Here is a 20,362-nt window from a genome sequence, read left to right on the forward strand (position 1 = left end):
TTATTTTTTGCATCATGCAACATCTCAGGGATTAGGGAAGACAAGAGAGACTCTGTTCCCCACTGACCACAAACAGGGACACAGCCTACCGAGCCTCCAACCATCTGGACCACCTCACTGCAGCAAGGAGAAGAATTTACTTTGAAAATCATAAACCTTCTCTTATTAACTTCTACCTGGATGCTAACACTTCACTTCTGCTTACATTTCACTGATCAATGAACATCACACAGTGATGCGTAAGAGGGCAAGGAAGTGTAATTTCACCATATGAGCAGAAGAAAATCAGGAATATTGCTGAATGGTATTAATAACTACTCATATTCTTCTTGGACTAGAGAGAAATTCTGATTCAGGATTCAGAGAAGTCAGAGAGGAGGATGGATGTATTCAGTCTAGTTCCCTGTCATAAATTTCTAGTTTTGTTAAACATTGAGGATAGTAACTCTTCACATTGTGGTATTAATGTAGAGAAGGTAAAGTGCTCTTCAAAAAGGTAGAAGAGCCAGGTGTGGTGGCTCATGCCTGTAATCCCAGCACTTTGGGAGGCTGAGGTGGATCACTTGAGGTCAGGAGTTCGAGACCAGCCAGGCCAACATGGTGAAACCCCATCTCTACTAAAAATACACAAATTAGTCAGGCGTGGTGGCAGGTGCCTGTAATCCCAGCTACTCAGGAGGCTGAGGCAGGAGAATCGCTTGAACCCCAGAGGTGAAGGCTGCAGTGAGCTGAGATCGCGCCACAGCACTCCAGCCTGGGTGACGGAGTAACACTCTGCTTTAAAAAAAAAAAAAAAAAAAAAAGTAGAAGAAAGGTTCTATTCTCTATTTGAAAAACATTACTATTTCTTTAAGCATAGTTTTTTTGTTTGTTTGTCTGAGACCAAGTTTTGCTCTTGTTGCCCAGGCTGGAGGGCAATGGCGTGATCTAGGCTCACTGCAACCTCCATCTCCCAGGCTCAAGCGATTCTCCTGCCTCAGCCTCCCAAGTAGCTGGGATTACAGGCATCCACCACCATGCCTAGCTAATTTTTACATTTTTAGAAGAAAAGGGGTCTCACCATTTTGGCCAGGCTGGCCTTGAACTCCTGACTTCAGGTGATCCACCCATCTTAGCCTTGCAAAGTTCTGGATTACAGGTATGAGCCACCTCACCTGGCCTAAGTATAGTTTTATATAAAGAAATAGTATGATATATGCATATTTCACATAATAAAAGACCAAATAAAAGTACAGAGACTTTCCCAATCCCTATTATTTCTTGGCTACTGGTAAGTTAATGCTATCTATAATGTTATTACTGTCTATTAGTTGTCAGGCAAATAGACTATTTATATACATCAAAGATCACCAAAACCTTAAAAATCCTTTTCTTTCTCCAGAAAATATTTTAAAACCATGTTTCTTAGCATTTCAAAGTCTTCCAGCCTAAAATTATAGGTACTCTTGCTTCCTTTTTTGGTGGATAAATTATTTTGAATGTGTTCCACTTGAAAAATAGTATGAATATATTAAAACTGTCTTAGATAGTGCAACTGACCTGGAAAAAAAATGGCAACCTTAAACTCTTTTGGAGAAAACTCCCTTATCAAAAAGAGTAAACTTACAGAACTTACGTTTGTAAAATAACTGTTCAAATGTTAGTAAATGCTATTATTTCCAAATCTGGTATCTGAAAATAACTTAGTTTGAAATACGTAAAGAAAAGTTTTAAAAGTATACAGAAAACTGCAAAAAAAAGCCACAAACCCTTCAAACTCATTTTAACAGAAAATAAAGAGTAATTATCACAAGCTACAAACACTTCTGTCCTTGATATTAGTAAATAAAAACATGGTGAGACTCAAATGACTTATCTGTATTTTCATTATTGGCTTATTTATTTGTAAAGAAAACATTGTTCTATTGGGTTTATGGCTTCAGGCAAATGATTCACTCTGTGATACACATTCTTATTTATTTGAATCAGGGTAGCACGTTTTTCTCAGGTGTCTTAAAGCTCTTTACAGATAAGTATTGAATATAAACATCTCAGAAGATAAAATAAAATTAGTAACTAAGAGTGAGATAGTTTATAGCTTGAAGATTATTGACCTTAATAGAAACTTAGGCTTTCTGAAACTTTCTGGGAATTTTATCATTCTAAAAATCAAGTGGAAGGACATTGTTTCCTATGACATTTGCATTACATGAACAATTTTCAATCTTAAATCCATACAAATACTTTTCCTACCTAGGTCTGTTACTTGTCGATCAAATGGGCAACGGATTGCTCTTCCATGAAGAGGTAGGCGAGTGAGACAGTCATGACAGACGGTATGGCCACAAAGCAAAAGACGGGGAACTTTGTCTCCTTGCAAAGAAAAGACATCTTCACAAACTCCACACTCTAGCACCTAATATTTGAAAAGGAAGGATGTGCTCTTTAAACAATTTTAAAAGCATACATATTTTAGGTATATAAGAAAATTCACCTAATATATTGAATCAACATTGTTACTTTATTCCTCTATGAAAAAAAAACTATGTAGGTTGTAAAATCTTGAATCACTTTTAAGTCATTCCATTTGACCGACCCTGTCAAAATTATATCATAATGAAATATCTTTGAAATACTAAGTGTTGGGGCAAAGATGCTGTAAATTAACATCTTTGTTATCTTTTGAAAATTATGATTTCAGTCATTACATCTGAATCTGTACAAACAATATGTAATTCTACTGAAGGTGGGTTCTTAAGCAATTTCTCTGCAACTACCTAACCCATCATTAATTTCAACACAAATAAACTATCATTAATTTCAACAAAAATAATCTAAAATATGTACTGAGATAACAATTACCCCTGCAAATGATAAAGAACTTGTTAAGAAAAGACTGCAAGTAACTTTCAAGTATCTTCTACTATCTAATGTACATTAAATAATACAAAGGCAAAAAAAGCAATCATCTTAAATTTCAATTCCTGTTCTCTATCAATAAATATAGCTCTGAATTAGAAACTAGTTTGTCTTTCTAGCTCTAGTTACAGACACATGACTTGCACAAGGCTACACAGTCAGTCAAAAGAAAGGCCATTTATCAGCATATTCTGATTCTCAAGTCCATAAGTTTATGTTTTACAAATAGTCAACAAATTGTATTTATAGCAATAAAGCATTTTCAGCACTTATTTCTAAGTATATTTGTAGTGTTTCATACCTTGCATTAATTTTTTAAAAATACCCACACTGTACTATTCAATCATACCTCAAACTCCTGTCATTCAAGACCTGCTACAATCTGGTCCCTGTCCTATTGCTTCACTGCCATACTCTTCTGACCCTATGCTCCAACTATATCCAACAGCTTATAGTTCTCAGAACATGAGAAACTGTTTCATGTCTCTTCATGCTAACACTGAGGAAAGGACTATACTTGTCCTTTGGGCCCCGATGTACTCTGTATAAGCGTCTACCGTAACACCCAAAACACTTTAATACCTTGGTCTTTTAGCCCGTCTTTCCCTGTTGGACCAAAGAACCCTCAGGAACTGGGTATTTTAAATACCAAGTACCTACTGCTTACATAAAGTCCAGTAAAATAATTTAAAAACAATTAAGCTCACCATCATCAAACACACAACACGAGGTAAAAAACAGAAAACCCAAGGCAGAAATCAGACTAAATCTACTATGATTTTAAACCTAACTCTACAATTAACTTGGACTTAGTGCTTGAGATGCAAATATCTTTCACCATACAGTGATAATTCATAATTGCTTTGCATCTTATCATGGTTCAAAAGAAATTTAAATTTAGTCCTTCAATGTAAATAAGGGTTTGGGAAGATAAAAATGAATAAAAATAAGAAACATAACATTGTTCAGAGAAAAGAAGATGAAAATTCTTTACGTGAAAAGATGTTCAATCTAACTCATAATAAGAAAAATGCAAATTAAAGCTAGGCATGGTGGTTCATGCCTGTAATCCCAACACTTTGGGAGGCCGAGGCGAGTGGATCATCTGAGGTCAGGAGTTCGAGACCAGCCTGGACAACATGGTGAAATCCCATCTCTACTAAAAATACAAAAAAATTAGCCAGGCATAGTGGTGGGCGCCTGTAAGCCCAGTTTACTCAGGAGGCTGAGGCAGGATAATTGCTTGAGCCTGGGAGGCGGAGGTTGCAGTGAGCCAAGATCACGCCACCGCACTCCAGCCTAGGTGACAGAATGACACTCGGTCTCAAAAAAATAAAGAAAGAAAAATGCAAATTAAAGCTACATCAAAATACTTTTTTCAGATTAGATCAAAAATGTTGGTAACATTTTGTTAGTGAAGGTGTGGGAAAGCAGACACTCTCATACATTACTAATTGCTATGAAATGTTTATTGAGCAATACAGCTTCTATGGAGGGCAACTTGACAATACTTACCAAATTTAAATAACTCAGTAATTCTAGTTGCAGGAATTTATCCTACAAGCATACTAGACACGTGTGACAAAATCTGTATGTTACTCCTTAAAGCATCATTTGCATTAGCAAAAAATTGGAAAGAAAGTAAATATACATCAATATCAGCTTGGAAAATAAATTGTGGCACATTCATAATACTATAAAACTATATAGGATAGTGAGAAAGATGAAGTTTTTCATATATACACAGAATGATTTCATATGATTAAAACAAAAAGAAAAATAATAGAATATATTCATTTTTGCATAAAGGTGGGGAAAGAGCAAATTTTTTTTGTATTGTTGTATAAGCGTATTGTCTTCCTGGAAGGATACATAGGACACCAGTAACATTGGAACACTGGTTCCCCATGAAAAAGGCAAACAACTGGGGAACAGCTATCCACGTATAATTCTGTCTATTATTCATATATACACATACTTCAATTTATCCTACATTTTTTAAAAAGGGGAAAGTTTCACGTTATCAAATTCTTTAGGCCAGGCACTGTGGCTCACACCTGTAATCACAGCACTTTGGGACACCAAGGCAAGAGGACTGCTTGAGGCCAGGAGTTCAAGACCAGCCTGGGCAACACAGCGAGACCCTGTCTCTACAAAAAAAAATCAAAAACTGAGGTGGGAGGATCATTTGAGCCCAGGAGGTCGAGGTTGCTATGAGCCATGATCGTGCCATTGCACTCCCACCTGGGTGACAGAGTGAGAACCTGCCTCAAAAAAAAAAAATTCAATTAAATATAGAAAAAATATTCATAGGCTGGGTGCGGTGGCTCACGCCTGTAATCTCAGCACTTTGGGAGGCCAAGGCGGGCAGATCACGAGGTCAGGAGATTGAGACCATCCTGGCTAACGTGGTGAAATCCCATCTCTACCAAAAATACAAAAAATTAGCCAGGCGCGGTGGCGGGCACCTGTAGTCCCAGCTACTCGGGAGGCTGAGGCAGGAGAATGGTATGAACCTAAGAGGCGGAGCTTGCAGTGAGCCAAGATTGTGCCACTGCCCTCCAGCCTGGGCGACAGAGTGAGGCTCTGTCTCAAAAATTCACAATAGAATTTGATATAAAATAAATGCAACATTTTATAAATGCTGTATTATGATACTCTAATAAAGTAAATTTATGACAATAAACTCCAAAGAACCATATTAAAATTGTTTAGTTCATTTCAATCCTGTATCTCTGATCCCATCACTATACAAAGATTTAAAAGAACTTCCTTATGCTGTTAATGTATTTTTCAAAAAGCACTAATAAAATTCCATTGATTAGCAAACCAAACACAGGTCCAAAAATAAAGTTACTAGACTATTTTGCATCAACTCGGTAAATAATACAGCAAGAAAATATTTCCTCAGTATCTATAAATAGGAATTGTGGTTAACAGCAAAAAACCCTAGATAGGAAAAAGCTCTTAATTTTACACTTCAAAAAATGCCAAAAAAGCTTCAAACTTATTACTTGTAAATCAAACTGTAATCAATCAGATATTTTATTTTATGTTGTTATTTATTATTATTATTATTTTTTTTTTGAGAAAGGGTCTCACTCTGTCAGCCAGGCTGGAGAGTAGTGGCCTGAGCATGGTTCACTGCAGCCTTGACCTCCCAAGCTCAGACAATCCTCCTGCCTCAGACTCCCAAGTAGCTGGTACCACAGGCATGTGCCACTACGCCTGGCTAATTTTTTTTTATTATTATTTGTAGAGATAGGATCTCACCATGTTGCCCAGGCTGGTCTCAAACTCTGGGGCTCAAGCAATCCTCCCACCTCAGCCTCCCAAAGTGCTGAGATTAAAGGTGTGAAACTTTCTGTGATACATTTTTAAATGTCAGTTATTTCACAATATCAGATTTTTTATCTTTTATTTTTCAGATGGAGTCTCACTCTGTCACCCAGGCTGGAATGCAGTGGCACAAACTCAGCTCACTGCAACCTCCGCCTCCTGGGTTCAAGTGATTCTCCTACCTCAGCCTCCTGAGTAACTGGGATTAACAGGCCCACACCACAATGCCTGGCTACGTTTTGTATTATTAGTAGAGACGGGGTTTCGCCATGTTGGCCAGGCTAGTCTCAAACTCCTGACCTCAAGTGATCCGCCCACTTTGGCCTCCCAAAGTGCTTCCCAGGCACTTTGTGCTTTACAGGCGTGTGCCACCGCGCCTAGCCACAATATCAGATTTTTATGTTACTGTTTTCTCTAATGATAAAAGCCATGTCATTATCAACTTGTTCACAAGCAAAAGGCCATTTTACACAGTATTAGCATTATATACTTCAACTTTTACCTTCCAATAAATACTTCTTGCTTTCATCTATAGAAATGACAGTGAGATTTTTTTAGTTTATGCTACTATACCTACTACAAATTATGGCATGAAGATTTTGTCAGAAAGGACTATTTCATTGCACAGTTCAGGAATATTTTACATGTTAAGATGAAAATGAACAAGGTGAGCCTCCAATGTATCAAATTCTGTGCTGTAAGAAACTGGAGTTACATCAGGCTTTGGTACACTTTTGAGACTGTAAGGCAAACAGGGTAACAAAAAAATAGATACTGCAATGATACCCATTCCAATTATGAAATAAAACTTAAACTTCAAGTTAATTCACAAACTGCTCTTCAAGTATTCTCTACTTAGCAAAAGCACAATTCAATAAATAAAATCTCAGTCACACAACATGCCTAATAATGAGGGCTCCTTTGCATATCAGATATGCCGTGTACCTGTAGAATAACTTCATTAGTACCTAAAGGTCATCTGAATCAACAACCACCAATATTCACTGATACTAAATTGTGGGAAGAAATGTCTCATTTGCTGTCATATAAAACCAACATTACCTGAATAATCATAGGTGTCTACTTTTCAAGATGTGAAAAAAACTTCATATATTACCTTGATCAGTAATTCATAACCCTGGTTGCACATTAAAATAACTTCTGGTAATTCCTAAAATATACTGATGTCAACCTCATCAGAACTGGAGGAGGAGTGCATCAGTAGTGTACTAAAACTCCTCAGTGATCCTAATATGTAGCCAGGAATGAGAATTATCAATCTCTTAGATTAGAGATGCTCCTGAAGGTTACTCTATAAACCAATGGGATCAGTTCTCCCCTCCATATCTTTCCGTGCACAACAGTGGAAGGGAAAAATGAGTGCCACATATTTCAAATGATTTTTTAGCAAATTGATTCTGGAGCATGTATACATGGTAGAATCTCAAACTTCAAGCATAAGAAAATTCATAAACTCTATCGTTAATGCCCAGCTATGACGATGCTGCAGACTTGTGCAAAGAGTTAATAGACTGTACTACTAACAGGGGAGGGGGCAGCTCACCCAATAACAGATGTCTGATTACAGACGCAGTACAAGAGCGAAAAGTACAGACTTTAAAGCCGGTCAACCCGGGGCTCTGCCACACACTGTTTACCTAAACCTGGGTTTCCTCCCTGTAAAATGGGAATTCACATCTACTTCATAAGTAGATATTAACGAGCTAAAACACCTAACTTAGTACGTAGTTACGATGATGATGACTCAATTTATAATACTAAGCTAATTAATGTCTGTTGAGTTTAACTAAAAGCAGAGGACCTGGAGAAAAGACCGGTCTAGGTCACTGCCACTGGCCCGCAAGCTCCTTTTCACAAATGTCCCGATGATGACATGTCATGAGCAGAAGACCAGGCAATTTCAGGCCATAGGAGAGAAAGGATGCAGAGGACAGGACGAGACTTGTAATGCCAAAAGGGGCCCAGAGGCCGCGCATCCCACCTATCGAAGCCTGGGCCGCGGCGATGCCGCCAGGTCTCCAGGATGAACCGAAGGGAGGCCGATGGTGGAGAATAGAGCACGCAAGGTCCCTCACCTTCACTACAGCTGTCCCCCGGCTGCCCTGCCGGCCACTGTCTACTCCCGCTCCGAGCTTGTTTACAACCAGGGTAGCCATCCTCGCAGGGGAAGCGCCACAGAAACAGCCTTCAGAGTCCTCAACTGAGAGGCGGGGTTGAGCCACCTACCCAGAGGCCTCTGCGCACGCCACCGGCGCACAGGCGCAGTAGGACACTGGGCGCCGCTTAGCCGACTCTTACTCCTCCTCCCCGCAATCGTCGGGTGGTTAGTTGCACAGCCTCGCGCATGGGCACTTTTGTTATTTTTCATTATGTAGTCTGCAGCTGCTGGAGGAAAGACAAGAAAAAAAAAGAAGGGACAAAACGATTAAAGTTTTGGGGTGAAAACTCCAGATCCTTTAATGATTTTTCCTCTCGAATCCAAACCAGCCAGGGCGTGAACTGAGGGCGGTGAGGGGGTACGGGCATCTCCCTGCATGCAACGCGGTTTTTGTATAAACTACAAATCCCAGCATGCCACTCTCTCTCTCTCTCTTTTTTTTTTTTTTTTTTTTTTTTAAAAAAAAAACTCCGGCAACGTTGGCCTTTGGGAGGCCGCGTATTGTTACCTAGGGGTGGTTTCTTTTCCTGCAGTCGCGATGTGTGATTGCAGATGGAAAACAAAGTATTTTATGCCTACGTTTCTAAGATAGAAGAAATGGACTTGTTGAAAAGAAGCCAGTTTGTAAAGGACACAGTAGGAGAATTTAAGGTACCACCACCAGAGAGAGGTTGAGAGTGCGTTTGACTTTTGGTTTTGCCAAACGCGAGGTTTTCCGTTTCCTTCCGGGGCAAGTTGAACCTGTCCAGCCCCCGTAGGCTGTGGGTCAAAAGTGCCGGTCAAAATGGAAGTGAATCCCCCTAAACAGGAGCACCTGCTGGCGCTAAAAGGTAAACTTTTGCGAACCTGATTCCCCCTTTTCTGTTTCCTTGCATTCCCTACTTATCGAAGCCTTTGCCATGTAGGCCTCATCCTTCTTAAACACTCAGTGCTCGCCCTCCTGCTCTGTCCTTTGCCGCCAAGCGGGAGGAAGCGATTTCTCCTGGATGCTTTTTAGGTTTATGGGCCCCTTTCTAGAACGAAATAGATACCTGGTAAATCGTTCTTTCTGATCTGTGCTGCTTCAGTCACGAGATTTTAGCCGCAGAAGCTGACGTCCCGCTCCTACCGTGGAGATCTCTGTGAATTACAGCGGGCATCCAAAGTGCTTTTTCCTTCTGTCTCTTGTTTCTTCCTGTGGCACTGACGAAGTTAATCAGGCTTCAGCTTCCCCTGTAAAATTAGTATTGCATGACAGTAGTGCAGAGAATTTAGCAATACATAGTAATACAACATATAACTTAGATTTATTCAAAACAAACTGCAGTTTACTTCAAATCACTGTGTATGTGGGAAATATGTCCGAGATCTAATGTCAACTCTCATTTTTTGTACACAGCCATTTTGAGTAAGTTTGGTGATTTAATTAGATCATTATTTAGGAAAAAACAGCAGCACTTTTTTTTTTAGGACAATTTTTTTAATGCCTATTTTCTGGAAACCTTTTATTTGAAATCTTTTCAGCTTTATTTTATTTGTTTTTTACTACAACAAATGCGCTTTTTGTTTCTTGGATGCCTTAATATATGGTTAACAATGACTTCTTGAATGAGCTGAGGAAATGCTCAATAAACATTCGGGTTCAATTGAATTGCGCTTACTTTACTTATGGCATCCATTTTGAGGAACGCCTTATCCTTCCCATTATGATGTAGTCATCAGACTTTCTAGAAGCTCATCAGTCTCATATAATGATGCCTGTGTTAGCGAGATTGTCTCTTACTGTGGAACTTTGTAATGTTTAGTGATACAGTGATGGGACCTGTAAGCTTAACCTGAGCAAATGATCTAGACTAAAATGGAGATTAAAATGGATTGTTACTCGTGGAGAAGAGGGAAAAGAAGAAAAGCAACTAATTGTCGTGTTCTTTATCTCACAATCTCACTTCAAGTATGTGGAGTAAATATTAATTCTCAGAGTTTAAGTAACTTTTCCAAGATCACATAGCTAGTGATTGAGGCAGTGTTTCAACGCAAGGCCTGCCTCTCTTTCCAAGAGTCCGTGTTGCCTCCTAAAGAATGAAGCAGCATTCTCAGAGATAATTCCTCTACCAGCTACTCCGATGGGAATTTGGAACAGTTCTATTAACTGCTACGTGTGATTTATACAAATTAGAAGCTATTAAAAACAGTTAAATTGCAGCCGCGCGTGGTGGCTCACCCCTGTAATCCCAGCAGTTTGGGAGGCCAAGGCGGGTGATCACAAGGTCAAGAGATCAAGACCATCCTGGCTAACATAGTGAAACCCCGTCTCTATAAAAATACAAAAAGTTAGCCAGGCGTGGTGGCGGGCGCCTGTAGTCCCAGTTACTCAGGAGGCTGAGGCAGGAGAATGGCGTGAACCCGGGAGGCGGAGCTTGCAGTGATCCGAGATCACGCCACTGCACGCCATCCTAGGCAACAGAGCGAGACTCCATCTCAAAAAACAAACAAACAAAAAGTTAAATTCCAGTGATACAGAGACTGCCACTGGGAATTTTTAGTTTTCTGTTATTCTTTTTTTTCCAAAACCAAGGATACCTAAGAAAGAATATTTAAGCAGCCTAAGCCAGGCGTGGTGGCTCACGCCTGTAATAGCACTTTGGGAGGCCGAGGCTGGCAGATCACTTGAGATCAGGAGTTGACACCAGCCTGGCCAACATGGCGAAAACCCGTCTATACCAAAAATACAAAAATTAGCCAGGTGTGGTGGTGTAATCCCAGCTACTCGGGAGACTGAGGCAGGAGAACCGCTTGAACCTGGGAGGCAGAGGCTGCAGTGAGCTGAGATTGCGCCACTGCACTCCAGCCTGGGTGACAGAGTGAGACCCTGTCTCAAAAAAAAAAAAAAAAAAAAAAAAAAGAACAATAAGCAGCCTAAACGGACAAGTGCTTCAAAATTGACTGATAGTTTCAACTTTATTAAACCTCTTTAGTACCATCTTATAGTTAACCCATTGTTCTAGTTAATCAACAATTTTCACACATTTCAATGTGCTGATGCTGAATGCCAAATGTATTAATTTAAGTGGTCATTTAAGTTCACTTTATCTTTTAATATGTAAAATGTTAAAGATAATATCTTGTTATTCTTGGTTGGGTGAGGTGGCTGATCACTTGAGATCAGGAGTTCGAGACCAGCCTAGCCAACATTATGAAACCCCGTCTCTACTGAAAATACAAAAATTAGCCAGGCGTGATGGTGTGCACCAGTGGTCCCAGCTACTCAGGAGGCTGAGGCACAAGAATCACTTGACCCTGGGAGGCGAAGGTTGCTGTAAGCCGAGATTGTGCCACTGCACTCTAACCTGGGCAACAAAGACTCTGTCTCAAAAAAAAAAAAAAAGTCATCCCTTGAGTATAACACTGATTGACTTTAGACAACAAGAGAATTTCTCAGTGCCATATTTTACAATGTGAAAGTATAAGGAACAGGGAAGAAAAACATTAGTGCATCATTAGTTCTTGAAAGTATATATGATAACATTTAGATCCATATTTAAAATATGGATGTTAAAGATCACAATTATTTATGAATTTGAGAGTTGTCAGATCTGTTAGTGGGCAGTATCAGTAGGTAAAAATAATGAAATTATTTCTTCTAACTCTTCAGAATCAGACAGTGATTCTATTGTGAAATGATGACAAGAATCCATACTCATGGTTATCCTAGCAGTGGGAGAACCCTCATCAAGTAATTCTCTAATGATTTTTGGGGAGAAGGGATTCAACTTATTTTTTTCTGCTGTTGTTAGGATGTGAAAAAGTCTGTTTTATGGCTCTTACAGCTTTGGGCCTGATTAGCAAGCCTAACTTGCAGATATTGGAAGGCTCCATTCTTGAGCCTATGCACCATATGCTGGAATTTATTATCAGTGACTTAATTTGGGGCAACTTGAGGACTTCTGTGCTCTAAGAGAAAAAAATAGGAGTCTAGACTTCTTGTTCTCTTCCAAACTGGAATTCAAAAGCCATGGTATTGGGGTCTCCATACTGTTTAATTGCCTGGATTATGAGGAGAAGACAGTGTCACAAAACTGGTTCTTAGCCTGGTTAAACCATATTAGCAAAGTTAAACCATATTAATGGTTTTAGTTTTTACTACAGAGAATGACGTGAAATCATCAAATATTCTATCTATATATTTGTTTGGTGGAATCCATATAATTTTTTTTTTTTTTTTGAGACGGAGTCTTGCCCTGTCACCCAGGCTGGAGTGCAATGGGAGTACGATGGCGCGATCTCAGTTCACTGCAAACCTCAACCTCCCGGGTTCAAGCGATTCTCCTCCCTCAGCCTCCTGAGTAGCTGGGATTACAGGCACACGCCACCACAGCCGGCTATTTTTTGTATCTTTAGTAGAGCCGGAGTTTCACCATGTTGGCCAGGCTGGTCTCAAGCTCCTGACCTCGTGATCTGCCCGCCTTGGCCCCCATAAAGTTCTGGGATTACAGGCATGAGCCACCGCACCTGGCAAATCTACATAATTTTAAGTATAAAATGATTAATTTTCTTCCAGACAGATTAGAATTTTTTTTTTTTTTAATGAGATGAAGTCTTGCTCTATCGCCCAGGCTGAGTGGCATGATCTTGGCTCACTGCAACCTCTGGCTCCCAGGTTCAAGCTATTCTCCTGCCTCAGCTTCCCTAGTAGCTGGGACTACAGGCATGCGCCACCACACCCAGCTAATTTTTTTTTGTATTTTGAGTAGAGATGGGTTTTCACCATGTTGGATTAGAATTTACAGTGATTTCATTGTCCTCAATTTAGTTGCCTCAAATTTTTAAATATTACATTTTTTGTTAATTCATATGAAAACAATATTTTAAGAATCATTCATTTACTCTTTGTTTCTGCTAAAGTTTTAAGACTATTATTACTTAATATATTAATATCGATACTTCCAAGTCCTTTATATCTATTGAGTTAAACATGTTGACTACTAGCGTTTTTAGGCAGGAAGTGATTTTATAGGGCATCTAGTTCAGATCCCTTATTTTGGTAAGAGAAAGAATTTTCAGGTTTGTAGATTACATTCACATTTACCAATAGCACTTTGGTAAAATACCACATTGGGATTGGTTTTTGTTTTTTGTTTTTCCTTTTCTCCCTGCCTGTTGGTAGGCAGGGTATCCCTACCATATCTTATTCTTTGCAATACTTCTACTTTAGGTCCTGTTTCCCTCTGATTTGGCAAGAGAGACAATCTTGCAATAATAAATTAACATTCTAGCTCTGAGGAGTTCAACTAAGAAATTTTCTCATCACTAAGAGTAACTGGATTACTGCAGAATGACTACAGAAGTAATATTACATTATCGACCATGTGAGAGTGATCCCACACAACTGCCAAAAATTGCAGAAAAAGCAATTCAAGACTTTCCTACTCGTCCGCTATCAAGATTTATACCTTGGTTTCCATATGATGGGTCCAAGCTTCCACTCAGACCTAAAAGATCACCACCTGTGATTTCTGAAGAGGCAGCTGAAGATGTGAAACAGTACTTAACCATTTCAGAACATGATGCTAAGTCACACAGTTATGATTGCACAGTAGATCTATTGGAGTTTCAACCTAGCTTGAAAAAGCAGCATTTAACCTGGTCACACACACTGAAGGAACAGACTAATTCTGGAAATCTGGGTAAACAATCAGAAAAGGGAAAACAGCACAAGAGGAGATCTTGGAGTATTTCCCTTCCCAGCAATAATTGTACTAAAAACGTTTCTCCTTTGTCTAAAAAATTGCAAGATAGTTTAAAGGCACTAAATTTACACTCACTTTATAGAGCAAGATGGACAATAGAACACACTATTTGTAACAGCCAAACTCTGGAAGACATTTGGACAAAACTCAATCAAATTATTAGGCACAATGAACTTCCATCTTGTAATGCTACAATTCAGAGGCATTTAGGCCAAATATGGGTGTTCTGTGATATTATGTATTGTGAATATGTGGGAAGTCTTCTTAAAGGAAGATTAGCTCTTACTGGAAAAATTAATTTATTTGTGCATAAATATGGTGTTATTTTTAGTATGTAATGAATTCCACTGATTGTCAAAAAGAATATTCTGAATGAAATGAATATGGATTGAAATAGATAAAATAATTTTTACAGGTTTTAAAATTTTTAATGACTTTTTAGAATTCCTAGGCTTGTCAATTAAGTCAAGAAATTGCTGAGTTCTGCTTATTGGCAGCCTTCTTTTAAATGTGATAAATTATTGTTTACACTGAATTTGAAGGTAAAAATGTTCTGTTCCTTTTGTTACAAACTGTGATTGAATTAGTCATGAATTAAGTTGTATAGTTTGGATTTTGGTTAATCTCTAAAATCTAATTTTACTGTATTTTTTTCCTTACCTCAAGTGTAATTTTTTAAAAAATAAAACTCGAAACAATTCTCTTTGGAGTGCTATTTATGTGGCATGAATGTAGTTCAAAGTGGGAGACTAGTCTAGATTTATAATGATGTTTCCAAAGATATGTAATAACAATTGATAGGCTGTTTTCAAACAACGATACAAAATGTATACTTTGCCTAAAACGATAATGTATCCTGTTTTGAAGGAAAGTATCAAATGTTGAATGATTGTTTATTTCTTCTAATACAGATAATTCAGTATTAATGATAGTTAGTGCTAATTATTACTTGGCTGATGATTGGAGTCATTGTAGGTTCCCCATAAGCATAATCTTGTAATTGGTTTTACACATCACCTCATAAAAATGCTCAAAGGGATTAAAACAGTAAAAGTTTTGTAGAAGCATGTATGTTTGTTTAACATATTTAAATGCCTACTTTGCACTAGGTGCTAGGATATACTAGGGAAGGAGACAGACATGGACCTTGCCCTCACACAGCTTACATGTCATTACTACTATTAAACACACCAGCTCCCTAAGAAAAATAAGACTGCACTTAACTAGGAATATAGACATGTTTACCTTGAAGCTCAGTGCCTGTCATGGTAGGAGCTTGATAATGCATGGTAAACATTCCCTTCAGAGGGATTCTTCATAGCCTGAGATGGCTGAGGTTGCTTAAAATGGAAGCCCACTAATTTTTTTTTCTTTCTAACTTTTATTTTAGGTTCAAGGGGTACATGTGCAGATTTGTGATATGGGTAAATTGTGTGCCACAGGGGTTTGGTGTACAAATAGTTTTGTCACCCATGTAATCAGGATAATACCCAATAGGTAGTTTTTTAGTCCTCACCCCCTGCCACCTTCTACCCTCAAATAGGCCTCAGTGTCTATTGTTCTGTTTTTTGTGTCCATGTATACTCATTGTTTATCTCTCACTTATGAGAATATGTGGTATTTGATTTTCTGTTCCTGCATAAATTGGCTTAGGATAATGGCCTCCAGTTGCATCTACGTTGCTGCAAAGGCCATAATCTGAAAATATGAAGAAAAAAGTTGCTTTTAATACCAAGTTGGGATCACTTTATTTTTAATGGAGGATCATTTTTTACCCACCATCTCATCCCCTGCTAAACCACAGGAATCATGAAAAACTAAGCTTTATAGGACTTTTCTTTATAATAGAAATTGGAACCTATAATAAGCAAATATGTTAGCTACATGTTTGGGTGAACTCCAGGACACTAAGAAAAAAAAAAAAGGAATGTTTCAGGATTCCCTTGAGACTGTATTTTCTCTTTATTCAGATTTGTTTTCTAATGAAATGAAAAAAATAATAGGGAAGAAATAGAAAACACCAACTGGTACTAAAAGTGAACTTACCAGCCTGGGCAACATGGTGAAACTCCGTCTCTACAAAAACTACAAAAATTAACCGGGCATGGTGGCATGCGACAGTAGTCGCAGCCTCTTGGTGGGCGGGGGTAGGGGGTGGGTCTGAGGCAGGAGGTTCACTTGAGCTCAGGAGGTCAAGGCTGCAGTCAGCCATGATCGTGCCACTGTAGTCCAACCTGGGTAACAAAATGAGACCCTGTCTAGTGATTTTAGCTGTTTAAATTGGGAGAAACTGCCTCCTGTGTATCACTTTCAGGGCACCTTTTTATCTGTTTTCAGGGCACCTTTTTCTCTGTTTTCGTAGTTAAAAATAAGAGTGAAGGTTGGAAACGCCTCCCCATATTCATCTGTAGCTGATTAATACTCTTTGGAATACATTCCTACTTTGAATTCCCATGGGGTATTTCTGGTAAGGCATGACATTCCAGGTTTATGGCTCCAGGCTTATAATTAATAATTATTATAGAGAATTATTTTTCAACAGAGTGAAATCACCAGGGTTCAAATCTAGATTCTACCACTTATCTACTAATATAATCCTTTGTATGCAAATTACCCTCTGCAGGTATTGTCAATGCCCTATCTGTATATTGGGGTTAATGTAATACCAACTTAGAGAGTACTCATGAGAATTAAATGTGTTCAGCTTGTAAAATATTTAGCATAATGCCTGGCGCTAGTAAATGCTCAGTAAATGCTAGCTATACAGAGTAACTTCAGAAATTTTAAGGGTAGCATTTGTTGACTATTTCAAAAGCCAGCTGCTTAATATAGCAGGTTTTTAATTGCCTTCAGTTTCTGAAACTTACACTTTCAAAATAATGTCAGTTATTTAGGGACTTTCATGAAGTGCTAATTATTTTATTCAGGGAAGATCTGAATAGCAGAACTTACACCAAATATGGATGCTACAAAACTGAACGTAGTACATAAGAGCCTAGACCTCATGGAGTTTGGAAAGGAGTGCTATAAACAAATAAATATACTGCATGATAAATACAAGGTACCATGAGTGAAACAGAATGACCTGTTACTTTTTTTCTGAAAAAGATGACATTTAAGCTGAAACCAGAATGAGAAAGCCACTAAATTTGATATGAATGCCATAGTTGGTTAATTAGTAGTTGGGTGGTACATTTTTACATATGCTAGAACATTACTTATATTCTGAATTGACCATGTAGGTCTATAGTCTTTATAGTATTTTGGCTTTGATTTGAAGGAATTTTTTTTTTTTTGAGGCGGGGTCTTGCTCTGTTGCCCAGGCTGGAGTGCAGTGGGCGATCTCAGCTCACTGCAAGCTCCGCCTCCCGGGTTCACGCCATTCTCCTGCCTCAGCCTCTGCGAGTAGCTGGGACTACAGGCGCCCGCCACCATGCTAGGCTAATTTTTTTTATTTTTAGTAGAGACGGAGTTTCACCGTGGTCTCGATCTCCTGACCTCGTGATCCGCCCGCCTCGGCCTCCCAAAGTGCTGGGATTACAGGCATGAGCCACTGTGCCCAGCCAGATTTGAAGGAATACTTTTAATAATGAACTAGCCCTCTGTGATTCATTTTCTGAAAAATTTTACAAGTTTTTATGATTTTTTAATTTTATGTTTTTGTTTTTATTTTGATGTGGTCAAACGACAGTCTTTAGAAGTAACTGAAAAAGATTTTTAAAAAAATTATAGAGTGTTTACTCATTAGACTATAATAAATATTCAATTTCTTTTTTTTTACTTTTCTGTGGCTTAATTTTTGTCTATTTATATTTAAAGTGAATTTTTTAGTTAAATTTTATTTTCCCAGATAGCTAACCATGTCTTTGCACCTTATAATGAATAATCCTTTTGCTAATTGATTTTTTTAACTTCTAATCCTTTAATTGATTTTTTTTTGTCAAGAGGTTGTTTTTTAAAATATCTCTCCCAGCGTTTTTTTTTTTTTTTTTTTTTTTTTTGAGACGGAGTCTTGCTCTGTCGCCCAGGCTGGAGTACAGTGCCGCAATCTCGGCTCACTGCAACCTCCGCCTCCCGGCTTCATGCCATTCTCCTGCCTCAGCCTGCCGAGTAACTGGGACTACAGGCACCCGCCACCACGCCCAGCTAATTTTTTGTATTTTTAGTAGAGACGGGGTTTCACCGTGTTAGCCAGGATAGTCTCAATCTCTTGACCTCGTGATCCGCCCGCCTTGGCCTCCCAAAGTGCTGGGATTACAGGCGTGAGCCACCATGCCTGGCCACTCCCAGCAATTTCTTTATATAAGTATATCCTATCTTTTTTTTGAAAAACTAATATATCGGTATGGTCTTATATTAATAAGTCAATTAGTTGATTATGGACTTAAATATGTTATAATATGTAGTAAATTCAGTTCTTCCTCTTTTTTCTCCGTTAATTTCCTTAGCTTATTTTCATTTATTTGTTTCTCTAAATAAACTTTAGACACATTCTGTCATGTTCCAAAAATAATATCTTACTTTTGATTGGAATTATATAAACGTATATGTTTTCTGACATTTTTGTAATTTCTACACAGAATTAATATTACTTGAAGAAACACTTGGCCGGGCATGGTGGCTCATGCCTGTAATCCCAGCACTTTGGGAGGCCAAGGTAGGCAGATCACTCGAGGTCAGGAGTTAGGGACCAGCCTGGCCAACATGGTGAAACCCCGTCTCTACTAAAAATACAAAAAAAAAAAAAATAACCAGGCATGGTGGTGCATTCCTGTAATCCCAACTACTCAGGAGGCTGAGGCAGGAGAATCTCTTGAACCTGGGAGATAGAGGTTGCAGTGAGCCGAGATCGCACCACTACACTCCAGCCTGGGTGACAGAGTAAGCCTGTCTCAAAAAAAAAACAAAAAACACTTACTGAGTTTCCAAAGTTAATATTTTGTTGATATTGTTTATGGTGAAATCACTTAGAATTTTTTTAAAGCCTTATGCTCCTAATACTCTTTAAGCTTTAAAAATTATATTTTCCAGTTTTTCTATAATGAATGCATATTGTATTTACATTTAATTTTTATAATTCATAGGTTGTAAATAAATGGTGCTTATTTTGTAACATTACAATTCTTAATAAATCACTGATGTGTGATAACCTTAGGAAGTATGTAGTATTATATTTAGGAAGTATTTAGGTTATATTTTATGTTAGTATAAAATGGATGAATGTCATACACTAGACTTGAGAATATTAACCCTAAGCAGTATTAATGTTTTGTTTTCTTTTACTTTTTTACTTCACAGTGATGCGGCTGACTAAGCCTACTTTATTCACCAATATCCCAGTAACATGTGAAGAGAAAGACTTACCTGGTATGGCACATGCTTTCCTCTATTTGCACCTAGGGAAAGGTTGAAACCTGAATTGCCTGCATTACCTTGGACTAAGCCTAGCCCTGTAAATTTTATGCTAACCATTTGCTGGATTCTTTGTTGCCTATTTTTGTATCATGTGAAAGGTGGCCATCTGAGTAACAGGCCTTACTTATACTCTACAAGTCCAAATTATGTTGATATCCTATGGCAGTATGAGACAGTTTAAGATACATTCATATTCATAATACTATTAAAATTGCCTTTATCCTCAAATGTTGCATCAATGTATGTATTAGCATTCCCTTTTTTTTTTAAGAATTATTGGGGCTTTCTCTAGTATATTTTCTATCTCATGACGTACATTTTTCTTTGTTTCTAAAGTTTCCATTCCCTGTGAGATCAGAATTTTTTTGACATGCTTTGTTGTATTAAAATCTAGAAGTTAGACTTTTTAAATATCATCTTTGTCAAGAGGTTGTTTTTTAAAATATCTCTCCCAGCTATTTCTTTATATAAGTAAAAGTTATTTAAAGGGTAGATGTTAGAATTTTATGTTTTTCTCTTCATTCAGGAGATCTCTTTAACCAGCTGATGAGAGATGATCCTTCAACCGTTAATGGTGCAGAAGTTTTAATGTTGGGAGAAATGCTGACTTTACCACAGAATTTTGGGTAAGAATGACATATTCACATAAGAAACCTTGTAAAGCCATTACAAATTATGTTTTCAAAACAGAACCATGGGATGGGGAAATGCTCATGATACATTTACCTTTTTTTTTTTTTTTCTGAGATGGAGTCTCGCTCTATTGCCCAGGCTGGAGTACAGTGGTGCCATTTGAGCTCAGTGC

General features: G+C 38.2%; 3 protein-coding genes across 11 annotated transcripts in view, besides 2 other annotated features; 2 read left to right on the forward strand and 1 right to left on the reverse strand.

The window, feature by feature from the left end:
• Positions 1–8,473, reverse strand: part of TRIM23 (tripartite motif containing 23) — a 34,644-nt gene extending 26,171 nt beyond the window's left edge. For all 4 annotated transcript variants that reach the window (NM_033228.3, NM_033227.3, XM_017009444.3 and 1 more), the window contains exons 1-2: positions 8,334–8,473; positions 2,233–2,395 (exon numbers count right to left, since the gene is read on the reverse strand). In NM_033228.3, the coding sequence (NP_150231.1) occupies positions 2,233–2,395; positions 8,334–8,414 (244 nt within the window). In that variant the 5' untranslated portion in view covers positions 8,415–8,473. The remainder of the gene's footprint in view (positions 1–2,232; positions 2,396–8,333) is intronic.
• Positions 8,143–8,472: an enhancer, noted in NCBI's record as "active region_22607". NCBI's record gives its function as "activates an Ori minimal core promoter by ATAC-STARR-seq in GM12878 lymphoblastoid cells {active_cell/tissue: GM12878}" and the evidence as "EXISTENCE:reporter gene assay evidence [ECO:0000049][PMID:35858748]".
• Positions 8,603–8,682: an enhancer, noted in NCBI's record as "active region_22608". NCBI's record gives its function as "activates an Ori minimal core promoter by ATAC-STARR-seq in GM12878 lymphoblastoid cells {active_cell/tissue: GM12878}" and the evidence as "EXISTENCE:reporter gene assay evidence [ECO:0000049][PMID:35858748]".
• Positions 9,167–15,068, forward strand: SHLD3 (shieldin complex subunit 3). The gene is made up of 2 exons (NM_001365341.2): positions 9,167–9,246; positions 13,608–15,068. Exon 2 carries the CDS (start codon positions 13,728–13,730, stop codon positions 14,478–14,480), a length of 753 nt encoding a protein of 250 aa, NP_001352270.1. The 5' UTR covers positions 9,167–9,246; positions 13,608–13,727; the 3' UTR covers positions 14,481–15,068.
• TRAPPC13 (trafficking protein particle complex subunit 13) overlaps positions 9,167–20,362 on the forward strand; it is a 41,207-nt gene continuing 30,011 nt past the window's right edge. For all 6 annotated transcript variants that reach the window (NM_001093755.2, NM_024941.4, NM_001243737.2 and 3 more), the window contains exons 1-3: positions 9,167–9,246; positions 19,441–19,509; positions 20,084–20,183. In NM_001093755.2, coding sequence (NP_001087224.1) covers positions 9,201–9,246; positions 19,441–19,509; positions 20,084–20,183 — 215 coding nt within the window. In that variant the 5' untranslated portion in view covers positions 9,167–9,200. The remainder of the gene's footprint in view (positions 9,247–19,440; positions 19,510–20,083; positions 20,184–20,362) is intronic.

Source organism: Homo sapiens, chromosome 5, assembly GCF_000001405.40.
Source record: "Homo sapiens chromosome 5, GRCh38.p14 Primary Assembly".
Lineage (NCBI taxonomy): Eukaryota > Metazoa > Chordata > Mammalia > Primates > Hominidae > Homo > Homo sapiens.